This window comes from Homo sapiens, chromosome 11, assembly GCF_000001405.40.
Source record: "Homo sapiens chromosome 11, GRCh38.p14 Primary Assembly".
In the NCBI taxonomy this organism is placed as follows: Eukaryota; Metazoa; Chordata; class Mammalia; order Primates; family Hominidae; genus Homo; species Homo sapiens.
In genome coordinates this window covers 28,340,550-28,366,140 of record NC_000011.10, presented here as the reverse complement: position 1 = coordinate 28,366,140, position 25,591 = coordinate 28,340,550, and the positions used below count along the sequence as shown (strand labels likewise).

The 25,591-nt window shown below is 38.0% G+C and overlaps 1 protein-coding gene across 2 annotated transcripts in view; it reads right to left on the bottom strand.

Moving 5' to 3' along the window:
* The window catches only part of METTL15 (methyltransferase 15, mitochondrial 12S rRNA N4-cytidine), a 424,088-nt gene that overhangs the window by 166,335 nt on the left and 232,162 nt on the right, over window positions 1-25,591 (bottom strand). For both annotated transcript variants that reach the window (XR_007062458.1, XR_930849.3), the window contains exons 7-8: window positions 13,983-14,051; window positions 4,105-4,204 (exon numbers count right to left, since the gene is read on the bottom strand). The gene's annotated coding sequence lies outside the window, so the exon portion shown is untranslated. The remainder of the gene's footprint in view (window positions 1-4,104; window positions 4,205-13,982; window positions 14,052-25,591) is intronic.

Here is a 25,591-nt window from a genome sequence, read left to right as displayed (position 1 = left end):
CAAAGTGGAAAGGAATAATTACTGCCTGAAATTAACTCACTGTGCTCCTGACAATGGGATCTTTACTTATTTATTTATTTGTTTGTTTTTTGAGACAGAGTCTCACTTTGTCACCCAGGCTGGGGTGCAGTGGCATGATCTCAGCTCACTGCAAGCTCCGCCTCCCAGGTTCATGCTGTTCTCCTGCCTCAGCCTCCGAGTAGCTGGCACTACAGGTGCCTGCCACCACGCCCGACTAATTTTTTGTATTTTCAGTAGAGAAGGGGTTTCACCATGTTAGCCAGGAAGGTCTCACTCTCCTGGCCTCATGATCTGCCCGCCTCAGCCTCCCAAAGTGCTGGGATTACAGGCGCTCATGAGCCACCGCGCCTGGCCCATTTTTTGTTATTTCTAAGCAGTTAGCTCAAGTTAAACTTCTGCTTTTTCAAAAATCCCTCATACATTTTTTCACATACAATGATGCCAATTCAAGTATTCCTCATCCTATACTTATGAATGGATTCCCACAATTTCCAGCCCCAGAGTCCTAAATGAGGAATGTAATTAACATAGAAAGCAGGAGGTTTAAAGAAAAAAAAAGAGAGAAGATTCAAATAAATGCAATCAGATATGACAAAGATGACATTTCAGCCAATCCCATAGAAATACAAACAATCTTCAGAGACTATTATAAACACTTTTATGCACACAAATTAGAAAATCTAGAGGACATGCATACATTCTTAGAAACACAACCTCCTAAGATTGAATCAGGAAGAAACTGAAAACGTGAACAGGCCAATAGCAAGTTCAGAAATTGAATCAGTATTAAAAAACCTACCAATCAGAAAGAGCCCTGGACTAGATGGATTTACAGCTGAATTCTGCCAGATGTACAAAAACTGATACCAATGCTACTGAAACTATTCCAAAAAATCAAGGAAAAAGGGTTTCTCGCTAACTCATTCTATGAAGCCAGCATCATCCTGATACCACAACATGGCAGAGACACAATGAAAAAAGAAAACTTCAGGCCAATATCCCTGATGAAAATAGATATATAAAAATCCTCAACAAAATACTAGCAAGCCAAATCCAGCAGCACATCAAAAAGTTAATTCACCATGATCAAGTAGGCTTTATTTCTGGGATGCAAAGTTGGTTCAATAAACACAAATCAATAAATGTGATTCACCACAAAAGCTCATCAAAAACAAAAACCGTAAGATCATATAAATAGACACAGAAAAAGTCTTCTTTAAAATCCAGCTTTCCTTCATGATCAAAACTCTCAACAGATTAGGCACTGAAGGAATATACCTCAAAATAATAAGAGCCATCTATGACAAAGTCCAACATCATACTGACTGGGCAAAATCTGGAACCATTTGCCTTGAGAACTGGAACAAGACAAAGATGCCTACTCTTACATAACACTCCTATTCAACATAGTACTGGAAGTCCTAGTCAGGGGAATCAGGCAAGAGAAATAAAAGGCATCCAAGTAGAAATAGAATAAGCCAAAATACCCCTCTTTGCTGATGATATGATTCTATACCTAGAAAATCCTAAAGACTCTGCTAAAAGGCTCCTAGATCTGATAAATGAATTGAGTAAAAGTTCAGGATACAAAGTCAATGTACCAAAATCAGTAGCATTTTTATACACCAATAATGTTCTATCTGAGGGCCAAATCAAGAAAACAACCCCATTTACAATAGCTATGAGGAAAATGAAATATCTAGGAATCCATTTAACCAAGGAAGTAAAAGACCTCTACAAGGAGAACTACAAAACACTGCTGAAAGAAATCAGAAGTGACAGAAATAAATAGAAAAATATTTCATGCTCATGGATTGGAAGAATCAATATAATTAAAATGGCCACACTGTCCAAAGTAATTTACAGATTCAACACTATTCCTATCAAAATACCAATGTCATTTTTCACAGAATTAGAAAAATATATTGTAAAGTTTATTTATAACCAAAATAGAGCCCAAATAGCCAAAGCAATCGTAAGCAAAAAGAACAAAGCTGGAGGTATCACATTGCCTGACTGCAAGCTATATTAGAAGCCTACAGTAATCAAAACAGCATGGTATTAATACAAAAACAGGCACGCAGACCAGCGAAACAGAATAGAGAACCCAGAAGTAAACTCACAGACCTACAGCCATTGGACCTGGGACAAAATCAACAAAAACAAGCAATAGAGAAAGGACTTACCATTCAATAAATGGTGCTGGGATAACTGGCTAGACATATGCAGAAGAATAAAACTGGACTCCTACCTCTCACTGTATGAAAATTAACTCAAAATGGATTAAAGCTTTAAATCTAAAACCTCAAACTATAAAAATCACAGAAGAAAACCTAGGAAATATACTTCTTGACATTGGCTTTGGCAAAGATATGTCTAAGACCCAAAAGCAATTGCAACAAAAACAAAAGTTGACAAATGGAACCTAATTAAACTAAAGAGCTTCTGCACAGCAATATAAATTACCAACAGAGAAAACAGACAACCTAGAGAATGGAAGAAAATATTTGCAAACTATGCATCTGGCAAAGATCTAATATCCACAATCTACGAAGTACTTAAAGCAACAAGGTAAAAACAAACAATCAAATTAAAAATGGGGCAAAGGACATGAACAGACACTTCTCAAAAGAAGACATACAAGTGAAGGCTGGGTGCAGTGGCTCATGTCTGTAATCCCAGCACTTTGGGAGGCCAAGGCGGGTGGATCACGGATCGGGAGTTCAAGACCAGCCTGGCAAACATGGTGAAATGCTGTCTCTACTAAAGATACAAAAAATTAGCTGGGCCTGGTGGCACAAGCCTGTAATCCCAGCTACTCGGGAGGCTGAGGCCGGATAATCGCTTGAATCCAGGAGGCAGAGGTTGCAGTGAGCTAAGATCGCACCACTGTACTCCAGCCTGTGTGATAGGGTGAGGCTCTGTCTCAAAAAAAATAAAAAATAAAAAAAAGAAGAAGACATATAAAGACATACAAGTGGCCAACAACACATAAAAAAATGCACAACATCACTACTCATCAGAGAGCTGGAAATAAAATCACGATTATATACTATCTCACATCAGTCAGAATGGCAATTATTAAAAAGTCAAACAACAATAGATGTTGGTAAAGCTGCAAAGAAAAGGGAAAGTTTATACTACATTGGTGAGAATAGAAACTAGTTCAGCCACTGTGGAAAACAGTTTGAAAATCTCTCAAAGAACTTAAAATAGAACCTCTGTTCATTTGTGGGCATATATGCTTCAAGGAAAATAATTCATTCTATCATGAAGACACATGCACCCACATGTTTGTTGCAGCACTATTCATAATAGCAAGGACATGGAATCAACCTAAGTGTCCATCAACAGTGGATTAGATAAAGAAAATGTGGTATGTATACACCATGGAATACTATGCAGCCATAAAAAAGAACAAAATCATGCCCCTTGTGCAATATGGATAAAGCTAGAGACCATTGTGCAATATGGATAAAGCTGAAGACCATTCATTATTCTAAGTGACCTAATGCAAAAACACAGAGCCAAATAACCCATGTTGTCACTTATAAGTGGGAGCTAAACATTGAATATACATGATGATAAAGATGGGAACAATAGACACTGGGGTCCACTAGATTGGGGAGAAAGGGATTGGGGCATGAGCTGAAGAACCACCTGTTGGGTACTATGCTTATGGCCTGGGTGATGGGATCATTAGGACCCAAAGCCTCAGTGTCACACAATTTACCCATGTAACAAATCTTTATGTTGTACCCTTTAATCTATAGTAAAAGTTGAAATTAAAAAAAAGAAAGCAGTAGGTTTTAATGTTTCACTGATACCCAATGCAATATGATATGTGATCTTCCTGATATACCTTTCCTTCTACTTTTTCCTTGTGTTTTTCTTAATATCACAATCAGGACTGTTTGTTTAATTGCAATTGTGTAATTATTTGTCTAATGCTATTTCTACTTGTCTGTAAGCTTCATAAGGAAAGAAACTATATTTTGTTTGCTGATACAACTGGTGTTTAGGATAGTGCCCTACCATTACTGAGGGTCAATATGTATTTTAGTAAATAAATGAAAATGCTACCTCCATTTTTCTTTGAAGGCCATCCACGTTGTTTGGGTCTTCTAGGAAGCTGACACTGAGATGAAGTTGGGAGAATAAGTAGTTTATTGGGGGAAAATGCCTGTAAAACATAAGAAACATAAATAAGAAGCAGAATTGCACAGGGAGAGCCTCTGATACTAACGTCCGTCTTACAAAGGCTTGTCTAACCCAATGAGGAGCTTTAGAGCAAAAACTACTCATTAGAGGAGTCCTGTGTTCAGGGGAAATGTCTAGGCTCCGGGACCCCAAACTCTTGGGATCCATGAATGGTTTGGTAGTTTTTACCGATATTAAGTATTAAATAAATATTTATTAAATAAATGGCAGTACTATAGGGCTTTTATACCCCTCCCCCTACCCAGAAAAGAATTATGTGATTAAAAGGAGAAATTTCAGGTAGTATATTTATTAGAACTCCTCATTTAGAGATAACAAAAACCAAATCTAGCTAGAGTAAGAGTAAAAAGCAGAGGGAGATATTTTCTTTCTTTTTTATTTTTGAGAAATCAAAGTTCACTTTGTTTTAAATAAAATTTCTGTGATGTATCAGAAAATTAGGTAGGGTGTTCTCAAATAACTGAAATGACAGTTTGGCGATATTTTCTAAGGCCATCAGAGAAATGCAAATCAAAACCACAATGAGATACCATCTCACACCAGTTAGAATGGCAATCATTAAAAAGTCAGGAAACAACAGGTGCTGGAGAGGATGTGGAGAAATAGGAACACTTTTACACTGTTGGTGGGACTGTAAACTAGTTCAACCATTGTGGAAGTCAGTGTGGCGATTCCTCAGGGATCTAGAACTAGAAATACCATTTGACCCAGCCATCCCATTACTGGGTATATACCCAAAGGACTATAAATCATGCTGCTATAAAGACACATGCACACGTATGTTTATTGCGGCACTATTCACAACAGCAAAGACTTGGAACCAACCCAAATGTCCAACAATGATAGATTGGATTAAGAAAATGTGGCACATATACACCATGGAATACTATGCAGTCATAAAAAAATGATGAGTTCATGTCCTTTGTAGGGACATGGATGAAATTGGAAATCATCATTCTCAGTAAACTATCGCAAGGACAAAAAACCAAACACCGCATGTTCTCACTCATAGATGGGAATTGAACAATGAGAACACATGGACACAGGAAGGGGAACATCACACTCTGGGGACTGTTGTGGGGTGGGGGGAGGGGGGAGGAATAGCACTGGGAGATATACCTAATGCTAAATGACGAGTTAATGGGTGCAGCACACCAGCATGGCACATGTATACATATGTAACTAACCGGTACATTGTCCACATGTACCCTAAAACTTGAAGTATAATAAAAAAAAAGAGAGAGAGACACTTTACACATCGTGAAAGCACCATGAAGTCAGGCTTCCTAGATTCTAGAGAGCCTCTGGAACCCAGGCAGTGTTCCTTCTCAAAATCAAGCCTGAGTTTCTTTCTGTAGCTCTGACTAATTCTGTTTCTCTGCAGACTAGCTTTCTCCACTACTTGTCTTCCAAAGGGAAGTGACTATCTCATAGATCCTTGGTTTACATTGTATGGTTATAAGACAAACTAAGGAGCTGCCTCTCAGTTCCAAGTATCAATTCTTATAAGAAGGATTCGGAAGAAGAATCTGCTTGGCACATCTTGGGCCCTGTTTTTAAACCTGTTCCAATTGGCCATGGCCGGGGAGTGGAGTGGGATGAGAGGTGAGGTGGTGGAATTATGCAGTACAAATTTGGCTGGTAGGCCCATCTTACACTTGTCTATTGGGAAAGCACTTTTAAGAGAAGGCAAATGGCAAGTGAAAGAATGAATTGACCACTGGAGATCAGCTAGGAAGGAATGTTATAGTGTCTGTATCCCCAGAGATTTTAAAGAAGCCTGATCATGTGGTTTAGTTACTCTCTTAAAGGCAAAACACTCTCTTAAGGCCCCTTCCAGCTCTATGATTTCAAGAATCCTGCATTCTCTCTCCTGAGGGGTTGGGCTTCTTTTGTAAGTCCTTTAACAACATATCCAGAATCAAATTTGTTCTGTACCCAGCAGGTAAATGGACACAGGCATCAGAGCAACAGTTTCGAACCTCTCAAAAATCACTCAAGTGAAATGATATTAATGCAGTTTAGAAGTTAATATCTATATAAACAACTCATATAATTAAAGTTATTTCATATCACAGTGTAAATGATCTGGTAACCTTACCAGAGTTATTATTTTACAGAAAACATACTTCGGCATGTTTCTGGTGAGTTGCAAAACAGAATACAGCATATAAGAATTTCTTGTAGAAAGACGCACAAGTGTATGAAAAACAGCTCATTGTCACTAATCCTCAGATAAATGCAAATATAAACCGCCATAAGATACCATCTCACACCAGTCAGAATGGCTATCACTAAAAAGTCAAAAAATAACAGATGTTGGCAAGGCTGCGGAGAAAAGGGAACAATTATATACTGTTGGTGGGAATGAAAATAAGTTCAGTCACTGTGAAAAGCAGTTTGGAGATTTCTCAAAAAATTAAAATTACAACTACTATTCAACTCAGCAATCCCATTACTAGGTATATACCCAAAGGAAAATAAAATGTTCTACCAAAAAAATACATGCACTCATATGTTCACTGCAGCACTGTCTAGACATGGCATCAACCTAGGTGCCCATCAACGGTATATCGGATAAAGAAAACATGGTACATACACATCATGAAATACTATGTAGCCATAAAAATAATGACATTATGCCATTTGCAGCAACATGGGTATGGCTGGAGAACCTTATCCTAAGCTAATTAATGCAGAAACAAAAAACCAAACACCACATGTTCTCACTTCTAAGTGAGGGGTAAACATTGGGTACACATGGACATAAAGATGGGAACAAGAGACACTGGGGACTACTAGAGTAGGGAGAGGGTGAAGAGGGCAAGTGCTGAAAGACTACCTATTGGGTACTATGCTCACTACCTGGGTGACAGGATCATTTCATACCCCAAACCTCAGCATCCTGCAATATACCTGTCACAAACCTACACATGTACCCTCTGAATCTAAAATAGAAGTTGAGAAAAACAACAACAACAAAGAATATTTATGCAGGTAAATTTAAAACTAAAATTTTCTCTGTGACCCTAACAAATACAACAAATACTTTAGCTTTTGGGGTGTTGGTTTCTACAGTTTATTTATCCTTTCACATATTCATTCATTGTTTCATTTAACAAACACATCTTTAGTGTCTTTACTGTGTGAGATTCCATGCTAGGTTTTGGAGAGACAAAAGTAAATCACATAGTCTCTCCCCTTAAGACATTCATACATTGTGAAGATGATCACATAAATAATTATAAGAGACTGAAAAGTACTACAATGAAACTACATAATGGTATTAAGGGAGTTCAGGGGAGGCGGTAGCAAAGAGCAATAGGAAGGTTTCAAAATCCTGATCTCTGGGATTCTGGGTAGAAGTGTTCCACTGTCTACCTCAGATCCAAAGTACTAAATTCATCATGGGACACTTCTTCTCTGTTCTGTTTAATTTTTCATCGTTACATTTTGTGCTTCAGGGAAAGTTACAAACGTGGTGTATTTGGTTTTCTATTGATTCAATAGCAGATTATCACAAACTTAATGGCTTAAAAACAAGACCCTTTATTACTTTGCAGTTTCAGTAGGACAGAAGTCCAGCATAGCATGGCTGGATTCTCTACTTAGGGTACCACAGGGGTAAAATCAAGGTGTCAGCCAGGGCTGTGGTTCTCAGTCTCTCCAGGGCCAGAATCCTCTTAGAGGCTCATTGGCTGTTGACAGAATTTAGTTCCTTGTGGTTGTAGAATTGAGGTCTCTATGTCTGTGAAACATGGTCTCCTTCATCTTCAAGCTAAGAACAGTAGACAGAATACTTCTCATGCTTTCAATGTCACAGATTTCCCCCTCTGCTTGAAAGGAATCATTCAATCTCTCTATCTTAATAACCACAGATTTAAACCTTATTTAAATCTGTGAAGTCTCTTTTCCCACATAATGTTAACATTTGCATGAGTGTAACACTAGATAGAGAAAAGGTCATGGGGGCCCAAATTCTGCCAATAACACTTGACATATTACATTGTTCTTCTCTCGTTGCTCTTTCATTTCTTTTGAATCACTACAAAAAAATGATCAGAGCCTTGGAGAGAAGATATACTAAACCCAAGGCAATCCCGAAAGAAATGAAGATTTCTGTGCACTAGATCAGAAAATCAAAGCCACTTACTCCTAATTTGTAGTTTGCTTTCATTAAAGTCTCCCTCCATGTCTTTGGGTAGTCAGTGAAGGTATAGGTTGGGGACTGAGATGGTTGATATTTATTGAGCACTTACCATGAGTCAGGCACCTCAAATCATGTGATTCTTAGAATACGCTTATAAAGTAGGATTATCACTGTGGTTATTTGACAGAGAAAACAATGAAGGTACAAAGAGTTTAAATGGCTTGTTCAAGTCTGTAAGCTAGGAGAGAAAACTTCGGGATATAAACCAAAGTCTACTTGGCTTGAGGGCCAAAGTTTCTGACCACTACCCAATGCTGTCTTCTGGTAATCAGAAAGGAACTTTCTTTTATGTGAAAACTAGGTGGAAAAGAAAGAAGAAAGGGAGAAAAGGAAATATTTATGTATCAAGCACATTCACATGTACTATCTCATTGGATCTTCAGAAATATTCTATTTGGTAATATCTTCTCCATTTATTAAGGAGAAAACTGATACTCAGCAAGGTTAAGTGATTTTGCCAAGATCCTGGAATTCATATGTGGTAAAGCCAAAGAACTGTATGTAAACCAAAAGTATACTGTCCTTCCAGTCTACTCTATCAGCCTTACAAGTGACACACCCCTTCCAAAGTAAAAAGCAAATGTTCTGCCTACGAAGAGCAGGAAATAAAATTCAAAGAACTGTTCTGTGTGTACTGAGCCAGGATGTTAATAGCAACTGTGAGGTTCTGGATATGCCTACGGAGTCAGGCCCAAGTGTGCAGCTAACTGTGCCCAGTCTCCTCGAGAAATGAGTCCTGAGGCCAGCACACCTGGGCCTGTGTCAGCCAGGGCCAAGCCAGGTAATGCCTCTTCTTCCCAGGAGCACATCCTGGTTCAGCCAGGATGCCATATGGGTCTCCGATTAATTTGAAAATGAAAAATTGTGGCTTGAAGATGTTTTAGCTCCAAATACCAAGAAATGATGGTATTAACCTGTGAAATAATTTCAGCTTGTCCTATGAAAAGACATAATTCAAATGGTGTTTTTGTTTCCAGGCCTCTGGTTTGGCATGGTTCATCTGGTCTGAAAATGTTTTGCCAAATGAGAATTCATGCCACTGCCTTGATAGGAGTCACCTTTGGGGTCAGAGAATGCCAGGCTATTGTCTGCCCCAGTTAGAGCACCTGGCTTGGCTTTCTTTCTAAACAAACCCTGGCCTTTGGAAACTTTCCTGCAGAGAGTTTTCATTTGCCTCCACTTTGTGCCTCCATATAAATATGCTTGAACAATTTTTCTCCCATATTTCTTAACTTGTTGACTATTTTGAAATGTTCGATCTAACCTTCCCATATACTTGTATACAGAGAAGGCTCATGTCACTCATTTGACAAATATTGAGTGTCTACTGCATGCCAGGCACTGTGCTAGCTACTTTGAGCAGTAGGTAAACAAGATCAACAAAGTTTTTAACTCAAAGATCTTGAAATCCAGTGGGAGGAGACCGAAAATAGTGAAGCAAATACATAAATGGACAAAATAATTACATTGTAAAACAATGCTAGGAAAGATATAAGCAAGGTTATGAGATACCAAATATCCAGCAAAGGCAACTTTAGGTAGAAGGCCAGGGAAGACCTCTTTGAGAGGGTAACATTTGAACTGAGAGACAAGAGGGAGCAAAGAGCTGAAGTCATAAAATTATATGTTCCCTAGTAGCCTAGTGGTTAGGAACAAAAAATTACATGTAGAGAGACAACACGTGCAACAGCCCTGAGGTGGAAAATAGCTTTGTGTGTTTGAGCAAGAGCAAGACAGCTAAAGTTCCAGGAGGATAATGAGCAAAGGAAAAAGATAGTATAAGATAAAGTTGGAAAGGTATGGGGACTCCAAATCATCTGAAACCCTGTAGCAATGATATATATTATTTTATTCAATCCTTCCACAAACTTGCTAAGTACAGTTGTCCCTTGGTATGCCTGGGGGACTGGTTCTAGTACCACCACCCCCTCCCCTGGCAAATACCAAAATCCAACAATGCTAAAGTCCCTTATATTAAATAATGTAATACTGCATATAACTTATGCAAATCTTCCTCTATGCTTTAAATCTCTAGATTACTTATAATGCCTAGTACAATGTAAATGCTACGGAAATACTTGTTATACTGTATTGTTTTTAATTTGTATATTTTATTGTTTATTTCCCAAATATTTTCAATATGTGGTTGGTTAAATACATGGATATGGAATTCATGGATACGCACGGCCAATTGTATTAATATATCTTTTCTTTCAATGAAGAAACAGAGGTGTAGGGAATTTAATGTAATGGTGAATCTTCTCCAAAGACCAAGAAGACCTGGCCTTTGCAGAACTACTATTAACCTACAAAAATTTCCAAATTGACATACTTTAAATAAAATTTTTCCCCCAGGCTCTTGGATTGATTGGGCCTAGAAAAACCTCAATATTTATTGAAATGTATTAATTTTTGCAAAGTCTTTCAAAAGAGCCACCTTCAGAACAGTGACATAGGGATACGGTTATATGATTAACTTCTACCTAAAGGTGGTAGCTGAAAACAGTTAATACAAGTTGGGATAAAGGGAGAAGGTGCCATTGAGCCTTGTCTTTGTGTAGTAGCAGGCAAGTACTTTGGGGGTGACCCAGGAACATGTGGACACTTTGTGCTCTGTGGGAGTGCTTTTGTGGGTCCTTCAGAGTTCTCCTGTAGGGACCTTTCCTAGTCCCAGAGATGCACTCTTCACCTGCTCTCTCATTATTTCTTTGTTAAGGGAAAGGTCCTCTCACTCACCTCTGTATTGATGATTTTAAAAAACTGCTCAGCCTCAGTATCCCACCCATTTCTAGTTCCATGTCTCCTACTCCCTTCCATAGTGATTCTCTAAACATTTTTGTTGGCAACATACTTTGACATAACTCAAAACATACACGAAGGGATTAAAAGTTCAATACTGATTTAAAAATAAGTTTTGTAAATTGAAAAAAAGAAATGTACCCAATTATTACACCACTCACCGATTTCCCTTAAGCTTTATGTCACTATGTGAGTAGAAATATTCACTGCCCTGACCTTTCTTGCTTCTGTTGTTGAATGAGCTGAACTAAGTAGGATACAATAAAGTCAGGGTTTTTTTTCATCCACTGCTGCCCTCAAGCCATACTGCCAGATCTCTATTCTCTGTACTCTCAGACCAATTCAATAGCTTTTCTAGCCATATCTGACTAATAACAGAATAGAATCTTTCAAATATTAAAAATAAATCTAAAACGACATCCAATCTCTCATACAATGTTAGGTTCCTCTCTGTCTTAGTATGCCATGACCCAAGAATTCTATAGATTAGCAGTTAAGAAATTGATAAAGCCCACTTCTTCACTGCTCCAACATACTATTCTCCTCTCCCCCAATATGTTACTCTTGGTAACACCAGGTTGGGACAGGGAAAAGATGAAAAGGCAAAGGGGAAAAAGGGTTCATCCATGAAGAGTGCTATTGTTATCCAGTTCTGGTGTGCTCTGCAGATATTTTGTGCTCTATGGGAGTGCTTTTGTGGGTCCTTAAGAGTTCTGCTGGGACCTTTCCTAGCCCCATAGATGCGCTGTTAACCTACTCTCTCTCATTATTTCCCTCTCAGCTCCTGCTCCAATGGTACGTTCTGTAGTCTCATTTCTTTGCTGCCTTTTGGCAAGTCCTGAGATATGTCCAGCTTCTCTCTTAGAATATGAGGTTCTTCTCAGCCATTGTCTTTAATCACAATTACAAGATAGACATTAGACATTGCTTGACACCTTTTTTTTTTTTTTTTTTTTTTGAGACGGAGTCTCGCTCTGTCGCCCAGGCCGGACTGCGGACTGCAGTGGCGCAATCTCGGCTCACTGCAAGCTCCGCTTCCCGGGTTCACGCCATTCTCCTGCCTCAGCCTCCCCAGTAGCTGGGACTACAGGCGCCCGCCACCGCGCCCGGCTAATTTTTTGTATTTTTAGTAGAGACGGGGTTTCACCTTGTTAGCCAGGATGGTCTCGATCTCCTGACCTCATGATCCACCCGCCTCGGCCTCCCAAAGTGCTGGGATTACAGGCGTGAGCCACCGCGCCCGGCCGACATCTTATTACACTTACATACTTATGAGGAAAAGATCTCTTGCATCCCAGTTAAGCCCCCAATTTTTACACAAAGATTATACCTCTTACCTCATCTTTCCTTCATTCACTGGCTACCTGCTGTCTATCACATGGTAGGCACTCTTGTTTTGACACTTCCTCTAACAGACATAATCATATGAGCCTCTGTTAGAGCTAAGTAAATTTTACATATTAATCAAGGTCTGGTGGCACACCCTTCGAAATTTTGATGCCCTCCTGCCCTTCTGTGTATTTCCACTTGGATATCTCTTATCATTTCAAAATTAATATTCTCAAACAACATTTTTCTCTTCAAAATGGCTCCTTGTCAATAGGTAAGATATTCTTCCAGGCATTTATGATCAAAAACTTAGGGTCAACTTTTTGAGCCTTTTGCTATCTGCCAAGCCCAGTTGGTCATCACCCCCTTTCATACTTCTGGGGCTCTTCTCCTTTAGGCCTCACATTACCTTACTCTGAAGAGCTGCAGTAATCTTTTAACTGGAGCCCCAGAATATGGGCTTTTCTTTTCTAAGCTAGGCTGAATATGGCTGTATGACACTTAAATCCTGCTTTCATAGTGATGTTCTAATTTTACTGCTTAAAAGCCTCTCTGTTTCCCTACTGATGCCTGACAAAATTTCTAGACTCATATCTGACCATCTCTTAACACTTTAACCTTTTCTCCTGCTTTTCCGTATCATGCAACTGATATTATAAACTAGGCCATTGTTCTATGAATATATATTTTGATGTGATCATTTTGATTCTGGGACATTTTACTGTAAACATTGAACCATTGAGCTGTCAGTTTTTGCTGTTGCCTGGATGCCCAATTATCTTTCCTCCCTCAATGAGCTTCACCTCATCTTGACCTCAATACATCCATGACCCTTGGGGGTGGGGTGAAGATTGGGGAGAGGGAAAGGGAGGGCTGAGGTACTGGGAGAAATCAGAATCTGAGATAGAAGAGTTCAAAGACAGGGTAAGGAGCAGGAATAAGGTGAAACTTAGGGATGGGAAGAGGAAGAGGAATGTATATAACATTTTGTGCTTGAAAAATGTTACACATTTGACTTAGTATGTAAAAATGTCTGCATTAAATTTTGTTCTTTCCCTCCTGGACACATGAAGTTTATGATACTTCTAAGCCTTTGCTGTTCCTTGAGTGCCCTCTACTCATATTCAGGTCCACAAATATTTACTGATTGTCTCCCCTACTATCCTGCCCTAGTTGTTAGAGCAATAGAGGTGAGTAAAACATGAGGGAAAGTCCTTCCCTGAAGGATCTCACAGGCTAGGGGGTAGACAGGTCAGCTATTAAGTTTAATATGAAAAATGCTTCAAGTTGTTGTGGGAGCACCAAAGTGACACAGCCATGTTGGTGGCTGATTTCATAGGTTTCTCATTTTTACCTAAACATTCCCTCCTCCCGGCAGAAAGGTCAGACAGAATTTTCTTGCCTATGCTGTGAAGAGGTGCAGGTTAGGCCTTGGGACATCTCCAAAAGAGTTTAGATTCTCCAGTGCAACCTGCAAAGAAAGTAAGTAGATTTAAGGTAAACAGAATAATAAGTTACATTACCTAGAATCACAATACCTATACTATATACACTTGCCTCACAATTTTTTTTTCTACAGTGCCAGTTTTCACCTTTGTAACTATGACACCCTATTGGGGGAAATTAAGGCAGAATGGGTAAATAATTTGCCTCATGGTTTCAGGCAAAGTGAACCTCCTAGCTAAGTTTATAAAACGTAAACAGTCTCTTGCAACCTTTGGCTTTAACGCCTTCCTAGCTGTGAGCTTTCTTTCTTTAAGACCTGTCAATACTGCCTATGATTTTGCTCAGTTGTAAATTTCCTGCCACACCTTATTTCATCATTACATATGACTGGTGAATGTTGTTCTTGTGTACTTAAATTGCCTTAAGTTTACACTTAATTTATACTCAAATGCAAAGACACATATATCATACTAGGGCATAGGCAGCAAACTGTTCAGACTCATGGAGTTGTATACAACCTTTCACTTGGATAGTATAGTAAGGTTTATAAAACACTTTCTCACATGAATTAACTCATTGACTTCCCAATGAGGTAGAGATTGGTATAGACATGTGGGGCAGGGAGCTAAAATGAAGATTCCAGATGTTTATGCTACTTGTTTGTGTTGATAAATAATTGTTTCTGAATTCATAGCTTTGGGCCCGGTGCAGTGGCTCACGCCTATAATCCTAGCACTTTGGGAGGCTGAGGTGGGTGGACTGGATTGCCTGAGCTCAGGAGTTTGAGACCAGCCTGGGCAACATAGTGAAACCCGTTTCTACTAAAAACACGAAAATTAGCTGGGCATGGTGGCGCGTGCCTGTAGTCCCAGCTACTCAGGAGGCTGAGACAGGAGAATAGCTTGAACCCGGGAAGTGAAGGCTGCAGTGAGCTGCGATTGCACCACTTCACTCCAGCCTAGCAACAGAGCAAGATTCCATCTTAAAAAAAAAAAATTTTTTTTAAATTCATAGCTTTAAGCAGTCTATCTCAAATTCCATACGGTTTACAAGTAGAGTAGACCCTGCTGCTATTGCCCTACTCTCTAGGGAGAAATTAATGGAGCTCATTCTAATTTCTCACTGGATAAACTTCTCAAATCCAGGTACAATATGGGAGAGTGAGAGATCCTTGCTCTGAAAAGTTGCTTGGTAACCAGTGACCTAGCATAAATATATTTTAATAGTTAAGGTAAAGAATGTCTATGTGGGAGTTTGTCATTTCTGCTTCACAAAATTCAAATGTTTACATGTAATTTATTTCCCCAAATATAGCAGAAGCTCTTAGGGACAGAGATTTTTGTCTTATAGTGCTCAGACAGTCAGTGAATACCTATTGATTGATAGCATCAATTTTTGAATTATATTTATCCCTTTTCACAATGTGCTAACTGCAGTACAAAATGAATTCCCTATTTGGGGTCAGGTGCTTGACCATAAAAAGACAAGAAGTCAAAAACAAGTAGAGAAAAAGAAGGAGTGTATTAAAATTTAGCAAGACCAGGCTCTTATCCAAAAGTCCTCAACCCAAAGTAATTTTGTTTATAACTTGATTTTTCCATTAGAGGAACAATTGTTTTAGTTTACTTGGATTGATTCAGTAGTTAACATGCTTAAATTGTAGAGTATGGGTGACCTTTTTGTTTTGTTAATGCCAGATGTAATTTTGTAATAAAACTAATTTTGTTTATTTAAAAACCACATTCAAATTGTGAAATAGGAATTCTACCCTCTTTGTTCTTCTTTTTTTCTCATTTCCTTCAAATACATCTAAAATTATCCTCTTGCAAATCAATGGATTTGTGAATTTTAGCCATCATCCATAAGGAAGAAACAAGAATTTGTGGCCCAGATTTGTAAATATTCCCATGGATCAGATTATGGTGGCCATCTCTCTTTTGGATACAGGAACCGTTTCTTATTTGTCTACAGGCCCTAGAGCACATAGCATATAGAAGGTATATAAATAGTGCTTGAAAGAAAAGTATATATGGAAAGAGTAGAGAGGAAAGGCCAGAGCTTTTATCTAATAGCCTGTCTAATACAGGTGGCTATCTCCACTGTAGCAACAGAAAGACTTTTAAGGGAAAGAGAAAAACTCTGCAAGACATCCATGAAACAAGTCATTGTGCCCAACTCTCATCATTTATGCAACACCTTCTGTGCAATTCTATACTCCTTACATCATTGTTAACATTTGTAATCTTATTTTTTTATTAACTTCTTTTCTCTAAAAATATTTACAAAGGAAGCAAAAGGAATTCTGATACAAATCAGAACAGTAGTTGCCCACAAAAGATGGAGATTGACGAGGACTTTCTGGGGAGATGAAAATGTTCTAAATCTCAATGTGGTAAATATACTTGTTAAAACTCATTGAATTACATGCCTAAGAACTGGGCAGATTAAATAATTTAATTCTTTCTGCAATTAAAATATATTTAAGGTAAATAAATAGATCAAGGAACTAAACATACTCACAATTAAAGCAAATAGTGTTATTAAATTCTAGATACTACTCCTTATAGAAGGCTCTAAACCTGATACTTGCTTTCTCTTTTTAAAGCAAATAGTAAGCAATTAAAAAAGAATAAAGACATGTTAGTAGCTCTATATCTTCCTCTTTCCTTTCCTTTATTTAGACAATATATTAGTATCCTGCCTTCCATTGTCAAACAGCCCTGTGTGAGGCCGGAAAAGGTAGCCTGCCCAGATAAGGAAGGCAGACCTGTGCAGAGGAGGCTAATCTGAACACAGGGCAAGTCCACCTGCAAGGGGTGTGGTGGCCCAGCACTATCAGATTGGCCACACCCAGGGAGATTGAGCAGATAGTAAATATATTGTGAATAATGAGAACCAGGTTTTTCACTATTGGAAAGGGAGTGACAATTAAAGAAAAGATAAAGCAATAATAAACCCAGCCAAAATTGGATTAAAATTGAAGGTACTAGAGTGAGCTATTAGTTTTAGTTGTAGATGTATATAGAGATAAATATAAATGTATGTGGTTCCTAGCTATCTGCTGAAACAGCCTAAGAGTAATAGTACTCCAGTAGTAATGATCACCTAATGCTCATATCTTCATTTGAAATACTGAAATGAACAAAGACTCCTTGAAGAAATGACTGAATCCAGGGCTGAGGCTGAGAATGTGATGAGCCTGGAACACCTTTCATAATAGAAAGAAAGGAAATACTCAAAGAATGCAGACATATTAAAAGAACACAGAAGTAAGCTTGAAGGAACTGGCTCCCAGTGGCCAAAGTACAATTGAAACATTAAATAATGCTAAAAGAGCAAATTATAACCCATTGAATAATCTAGTACCCCAATGATATAAATACATACATACATACATACATACATACATACATACATACATACATACATACATAAATGGATAGACAAAGTTCAGTGGTGGCTCATGCCTGTATGTAATTTCAGCACTTTGGGAGGCTGAGGGAGTGTAGCTTGAGTCCAGAAGTTCGAGACCAGCCTGGGCAACATAGTGAGACTCCGTTCTCTACAAAAAATAAAATAACTAGCCAAGCATGGTGGCATGCACCTGTAGTCCCTGCTACTCAGAAGGCTGAGTTGAGAAGATTGCTTGAGTCCAGGAGGCTGAGGCTGCAATAAGCCATGATTGCACCACTGTACTCCAGCCTGACTGATAGGGTGAGACCCTGTCTTAAAATAATAAGAAGAAATTCAATAAATGGGTAGAAGAGTAAGCTCTTCCTTACAGCAGAAAGCTTCCAATAAATGTGGAAGGAATATTGTTTTATAAACTCACCATTTGGCAATAATCATAATAATTAACCCAAGCAAGAAACTTCAACAGACACTACAACTAGTAGGTCAAAATGAGGTAAAGAACGAGATTTTTACATAGTCTCAAAGTATCTCCATTCAAAACATTTTTTTAATTACAAAGGGAACAAGAAGTAGAGAAACCTGGTGGACGTAATCTTAATCAAGTGATTGAAACAAACACCATCAGTAATGGGACACATAGATATCATGTGCAATCTCATAGGATGGTAATGAAAATAAAATAGTAAGTGTGACAGTCAGACCAAAACTTCATAACCTGGGTCTAGTCATGAGGAACCATTGGCAAACTCAAGTTGATGGATATGTTGAAACACAACTGGCCAATCTTCAAAAATGCTAAAGTATCGGTGCAAGAAGAGGACACTGTCTAAATTCTGCTTAGAGATGTTAGGAAAGGCTTACTAAAGGAGATAACTTAGATATGGTCTTGCAAAATGAAGCAGCTGTCATATAACTTAGAGAGAAATCATTCTAGGCACAGGAGACAGCATTTTCAAAAGTGTGGAATTCCGGGTACTATAGTGAGTTGGGTGCCTAGAAAGCACAGAAAGACGGTAGCTGCAGCCAGGGAGATGGGCTGGGGCCAAATTATGAAGGATCACTTTCCTCTGTATTTTGCACAGTAAAATGAGTACACAGAAATTCAGTGATTAATCCTGAAGGAATTGGAAAAGACATTAGCGTTGATGGGTTAGTCCAGGTCCTCTGAGAAGCAGATGCCAATTCAGGATTGAATACAGAAGGAGTTTATTAGGAGAAATGCATTCCTGAAAGAAAATATCGTAGGAGCTGGAGAGGGCTGGAAGAGCCATGAGATTGTAATGTAAGTCTGACCCCAAGTGAAGATGAGAGGTAAAGATGGTTGGGTCGTATGTTCAGCAAAACCATTCATGAATCCTTCAGCCAAAGTAAATGACAGTAGTCCCCTTCTCTCCCAAGAATCAGGCTGCCCTACTATTCCTACCTCACTTTACCATTGGTAGGAACTACCCCTTGGTAGGTATGGCCTCAGTGGCAACACAAGACTGCACTTCAAAGTGCAGCAGCAGGTACCCTTGGTCCATTATGCTCCCTGTAATAGAAGGGAAACAAAGCACATTCTCATTACCACCACATCTTTTAGAAGAAGAGGTGAAGGAAATTCCAAGGAAACATGTGAAGGAGTTTAAGTGCAAGTATTTGGTATTTCATCTTTGTTCTTATTTAAGTATCAATTTCCTCTTAGTTACAAGAGTCATAGACATTTTTGAGCTGAGCCATGACTACATTTGTCAATCTGTGGTTAGTAAACATGGACATCTAATCTGGGAGAGTCTATCATTTTGCTTTGCCTTAATGTGGTCAGTCTTCTGTTTTTAGTCTTTGGTGCACCTGTGGAGGCTAACCTCAATAATACATAATTCTCTTTTCCCTGGAGTTACTTGATGTATTATGGAACACAAGTTGTTGTACACGAAACACATGCTGGTTAGTAACTATACATGCCTTAAATAAAAATAGGAAAATAAATTTGACTTCTATTTAGTAGGAAGACACATTTCTTCTTAAACATTGTTATTGTTGTAAAGTATTTTTGATTTTGAAAAGGTTGGGAACAATTGAAATCAACAAATTTTCTTGTGATTCTGATGAAGTTGAAAAGACTATAAATCCATAACAAAATTTCAAGTTGCTTTAGTTTATTCTTAATTACAAATTTTCTAAACCCCATTAAAGAAAGGAAATGGTCTTTCTAGACTCATTTTACCAGGTTTGGAGTATCTTCCTTCTCTATCAAGTGCCTAAAAAGTCCTCCAGATTGCATAAGAAACACCTATAAAATATGACTCATTGCATTTTTGGTGAGTAATGCAATTAACACTGTAATATTGTAGCCACATTTTAAAAAAATCTTATTTACATTTATTAACTGCTAGCACTGGGAACATTTTTAACTCCAAGAAAGATTCAAGATGCCCAGTGTAGATTCAAAAAAACATAACAATGTGCCCTTTCCTCAAAGGATAATGTGCCTGTTTCAAATGATGCCATTTAAAAACACAACAGAGCATTTAATTGGGTAAAAAACTGGTGCTTAAATTTCAGAACATATTTTCATTCAGTGGCAAGAAAATTGTTATTCCAAAAATGAGATGCATACAGGACGTAGCTTAACTGAGGAATCATGCTAAAGATGTGTCTTTAAAATAGTTGCTGCATATGAGTGATAGCTTTGACATTTGGTCTTCAAGACTACTCCTATTTTTATATTTTTTGTGTGATGAAGGCGGTGAAGAATTTCTATGTTTTAGAAAATAATCATTTAATACCTTTCATTATAAATGTCATTCCTGGCCTCATATATGCTGTGATTACTTGTTCCTGGTCAGGAATGCATTGATTTACTCAGAATAGACACCATCTTTTAATTCTAATGTGAAAAGCAATCCTGGTGTGGTCAGCCTGAAGCAATTTTTAAAGATGTTGCTATGAGTTTGCTTGATTTTGGATGTAGGTACAAAGGTCTGTTTTGGTCATTTTATTTTAAAGGCTGTCTTGTTGGCGCACCAAATCCACTGGTCCTTTAGAAAAAAGGAATGAAAAGATGCAGCTTCTTCATACGTAAGGGTTGCTGCATTGCAGTTCAGAGAACACAGATTCCATCTTATTCCATGTGTGATGCAGCAAAGTATTATACTCCTTTTTCTTCAAGCTAGAATTGTATTTCCCAAAATAATATATATGACTATCCTGAGTTAGAAAAGATAAACTAGGCAAGGTGCGGTGGATCACACCTGCAATCCCAGCACTTTGGGATACGGAGGCGGGTGGATCACCTGAGGTCAGAAGTTCAAGACCAGCCTGGCTAACATGGTGAAACCCCGTCTCTACGAAAAATACAAAAAATTAGCCGGGCGTGGTGGCGCACGCCTGTAGTCCCAGCTACTCTGGAGGCTGAGATACAAGAATCGCTTGAACCTGGGAGGTGGAGGTTGCAGTAGGCCGAGATCACGTCATTGCACTCCAGCCTGGGTGACAGAGTGAGACGCTGTCTCAATGATAACAACGACAACAACAAAAAAAGAAAAGATAAACTATTCATTTATTGCCAGATACTTATGGTGGGGGACTGGAATTATTTTTAAAAGGTGAAAAATGGATTATTTCTTTAAGAAAGCCAGATATACCTGTAGTGATTAAGTTCTTAAAATGTAGTCCAAATTGAGATGTGCTGTAAGTGTAAAATAAACACTGGATATTGAACTCTTGAACAAAAAAAGAATATAAAACGTTCCATTTTTATATTGATTACATGGTGAAAAAATTTGAATATATCAAACAGACTATACTATTAAAATTAATTTCACGTTTCATTTTACTTTCCTCAATGTAGCTTCTCAAACATGTATAATTACAATGTGGCTAAAATTTGTGGCTTGCATTATATTTATATTAGACAGCACTAGTCTAGAATAGTCAATCTATTCAAATCCTCAGACATCACTTAATCTCTTCCATTCTTTGTGCCCAACACAAAATTTCTGTGAGGGCCCAGCTTAGCTTTGCAGGGACACTGGCCATATTAATTGATGACAAAATTGAGATTCTCTTAGACAGTGTATGGAGCTTGAAGCACCCAGGTATGAAAGAACCAGATGAGGTTCAAAGGCAGAAATCTCAGCCTTTACCCTTTGACATATCACTGGGTCACATGTGGGAAATGTGACTTGAATTGAGAGAAGTTTCTCTAGTACAGGAGTTATTGGACTGGAGCCCATGATAGAACTGAAGAGCTTTCATAAATCTCTTGATATTATAAACAAAATTAGTGTGCATGTGCTGTTTTCATTAGTGAGCCTGTACTTTTAATTAGATTTTTCAAAGGTTCAGGAACCATGGCTTCAAAAATATTAAGAATCCTAATTCGAGGAAGATATGGCTCATTCAGACAGGTTATTATCTCATAATTACTGTTACATAGTCATCCATGTCTCTCAATATTAGTATTCTTAATAATGTGAATATGTGCATTCATATGTCATGGAGAACTAAATGGTGCTTGGTCATCCTACAGAGAGCATTTTGAGAAAACTATATCATGGAAGTCAAAGTGCATGGCGATTGGTGAACAAGAATAACAAAAAGTAAGGGTGAAACAAGTAGACTATCAATGACATTACAAGAAAAGGCCACCTGGTGAATTATGTCCCAGGAAATTAAGCTATTGATGATTCAGCAAAAAAACTCTTGTAGTTCTCACCTTAAACGAATGTTATAAACCCAGTTCTTTTTGGAAGAAAACTTCATTCATTTCTTTATTTCTTTGGGCTGTCATAGTACTTACCTTCTATTACAGAATTTTCCCTGTTTATCTACTATCTTTTCAAAATTGGCATATCTGTCTCACCCTATATTAAACAGCAGTCTTCAAGAACAAGAAGCACTTTTTTTACTCTATTGCCCCCAGTGCCTTGCAAATAGACACTCAATAGATGTTGAGTAAAATAATAAATGGTTGTTGCCTGATTTCTGTACATTTCAAAATAAAAGACAACCTATGCACAAATACAACTTTAAATATTAGAATTTATTTGGAAGGCTAAATAAAAGGCTAGAGCTGTATAGAGTTTTAGTCAAACAGACTAGATTTAGCATTTGATCCTGTTCAATGCTCAAAAATTTAACTGATCTGAAGAAAGACTGCATGCAGGACTGCAGCTGCGATACACTTTTCCCAGGCCCAAACAGTGCTGAGTCATTCACCACAGTTCGTTTGTGAGTGAAGGAAACAAACTTTTAAGTTAGAGAAATATAAGCAGTCGTAGATCTGGGAGTCATCAGGAAATGTTTGCTACTTTAAAGAACTGACTGAAAGTTAAACAGGTTAATGTGACATTTCAAAGGGATTTTGAAATTCAATAGCTTTCTCTAGTTGATGTTTATTCTCTGGTTGTAAGGCAAATGTTTAATTTCTTCTAAGGAACAAAGATAGATTCTAGAATAACTAGATAGGTTCAATGTTCACTATAAGTTTTTTTTTTTTTTTCTTCTCCCTGACCTTCCCCACCCCATGAAAAAATATTATATATGTATGTATACAATGGGAAATGAAAAAACATCTGGCTGGCATTTAAACATGGTTTTCTTCATCATCAAAGGGGTTTGTATGAAAACAATAATTTTACAGTTAGAAGTACATTGTCATCCAAAAGAGAAAAGCAGAATCATAAAGAATATACATAAATTCAGGAAGAGGACATATTCTCTTTTTCTTACCAATCAGCACTGTGTAGGAATGTAAGATGTTTGCCATGATTAAGTGAAAGTTGTATGAGTCAAATAATCTCTTTCAAAAGCACATTATCAAATGTTGGTTAGTAGGGCTAACGACAAAGATATGTGACAGAACATACTGTATTACAGACTAGGATGTGAATTGTACAACTGTGCATACAAAACAATTTCACAAAGCTTTATTAAGATACTGAAAAATCCCATTTAGGTGAATCAGTTACCAAGTAAAAGTGAAGAACATAGTTTAACTTAACATTCAGATGAAAGAAGCCTTAAAAGTCATCTATTCTAAACCTGTTATTGATTTGGTTATAAATAACAGAAATCCAACCCAAACTGATTCCATTTTTTAAAATGGGGAAGAAAGGACAGAGGAATTTCATGGCTTATAAAATCCAAGAATGGGGCCAGGTGTGGTGGCTCATGCCTGTAGTTATAGTACTTTGGGAGGCCAAGGTGGGAGGATCACTTGAGCCCAGGAATTAAAGACCAGGCTGGGCAACATAGAGAAACCCTGTCCCTACAAAAAAAAAAAAAATTAGCCCAGCCTGGTGCCACACACCTGTGGTCCCAGCTACTCGGGAGGCCGAGATGGGAGGACCACTTGAACCTGGGAGGTTAAGGCTGAGTGAGCCATGATCACATCTGTGCACTCCAGTGTGGGTAATAGAGCAAGACCCTGTATCACAAAAAAATAAAAATAAAAATAAAAATAAAAAAATAGAATCGAAGAATGGGTGCACAACTAAATCATGGGAAGGGCATAGATACACCTGGGCTTCTAGAACAACTGGGATGAAGAATGTGAATGCTCCCAGGAAGAGCTCTCCAACTCCTGTCTTTTTATTTTCCTTCTGTAAGTTGTCACTCTTTTTTACATGGTGAAAATGTGGCCCTGACAGTTTTAAGTTTTACACCTTTCAGACATTGAAGTGGGCCCAAGAAATCCCCTTTTCTCATGAATGTTTTTTAAAAATAGGAAAGATCTAGATTGGGTCAGTCACCTGTAGCCAGGATTAGCCTAGTTTTACATCATAGTCTACCCCTGGGCCAATTAACTGTGATAGGAATGGAACAAGAAATTTGGGGTGATGGTGTGGTGATAGAGGGTGGTCATGGAATGACATGGAAGATTGCAAAATGGCCACACAGAGAAGAGTCCACTCCAGAAGTGGAGAGTACACTGGCATGTCCAATACAAACTCCATCATTTTACAGATAAGTAAGTAGAGATGTGTTATTTTAGCCTATTTGACAAACTAGTACAACGGTAACTAAAACAAAAACAAAAAAGATACTACTTTGTGCATACCCTATTTAACTCTTGTATATATAAATATTCATGTTTAATACACCCACCTTATAAAATAGGTGTTAACATCCTCATTTTTCAGAAGAGTAAAATGAGGTTTAGAGATAAATTTATATGCAAGATGATTCCAAAATCTGTGCTCTTTCAAAATAATACTGAAACTAGACTGCTTTTGTAAAATGGATATACATTCATTACAAACATTTTAAAACAGAAAACATTTTCAAAGAATGATTAAACATACTAAATCCCTCCACCTAGAATTAAACATCATTAATAAAGAATATCTTTCATGTATCACTAAGGACAGAAGAGTAAATAGAATAGCAAATTTTTTTTAATTATACTTTAAGTTTTGAGATACATGTGCAGAACGTGCAGGTCACATAGGTATACACGTGCCATGGTGGTTTGTTGCATCCATCAACCAGTCATCTACAATAGGTATTTCTCCTAATGCTATCCCTCCCCTAGCCCCCCAACCTCTGACAGGCCCTGATGTGTGATGTTCCCCTCCCTGTGTCCATGTATTCTCACTGTTCAACTCCCACTTATGAGTGAGAACATGTGGTGTTTGGTTTTCTGTTCCTGTGTTAGTTTGCTGAGAATGATGGTTTCTAGCTTCATCCACGTTCCTGCAAAGGACATGAACTCATCCTTTTTATGACTGCACAGTATTCCATGGTGTATATGTGCCACATTTTCTTTATCCAGTCTATTATTGATGGGCATTTGGGTTGGTTTTAAGTCTTTGCTATTGTGAATAGTGCTGCAATAAACATATGTGTGCATGTGCCCTTATAGTAGAATGATTTATAATCCTTTGGGTATACACCTAGTGATGGGATTGCTGGGTCAAATGGTATTTCTGGTTCTAGATCCTTGGGGAATCGCAACACTGTCTTCCACAATAGTTGAACTAATTTACACTCCCACCAATGCTGTAAAAGTGTTCCTATTTCTCCACATCCTCTCCAGATCTGTTGTTTCCTGACTTTTTAATGATCACCATTCTAGCTGGCGTGAGATGGTATCTCATTGTGGTCTTGATTTGCATCACTCTAATGACCAGGGATGATGAGGTTTTTTTCGTATGTTTGTTGGCC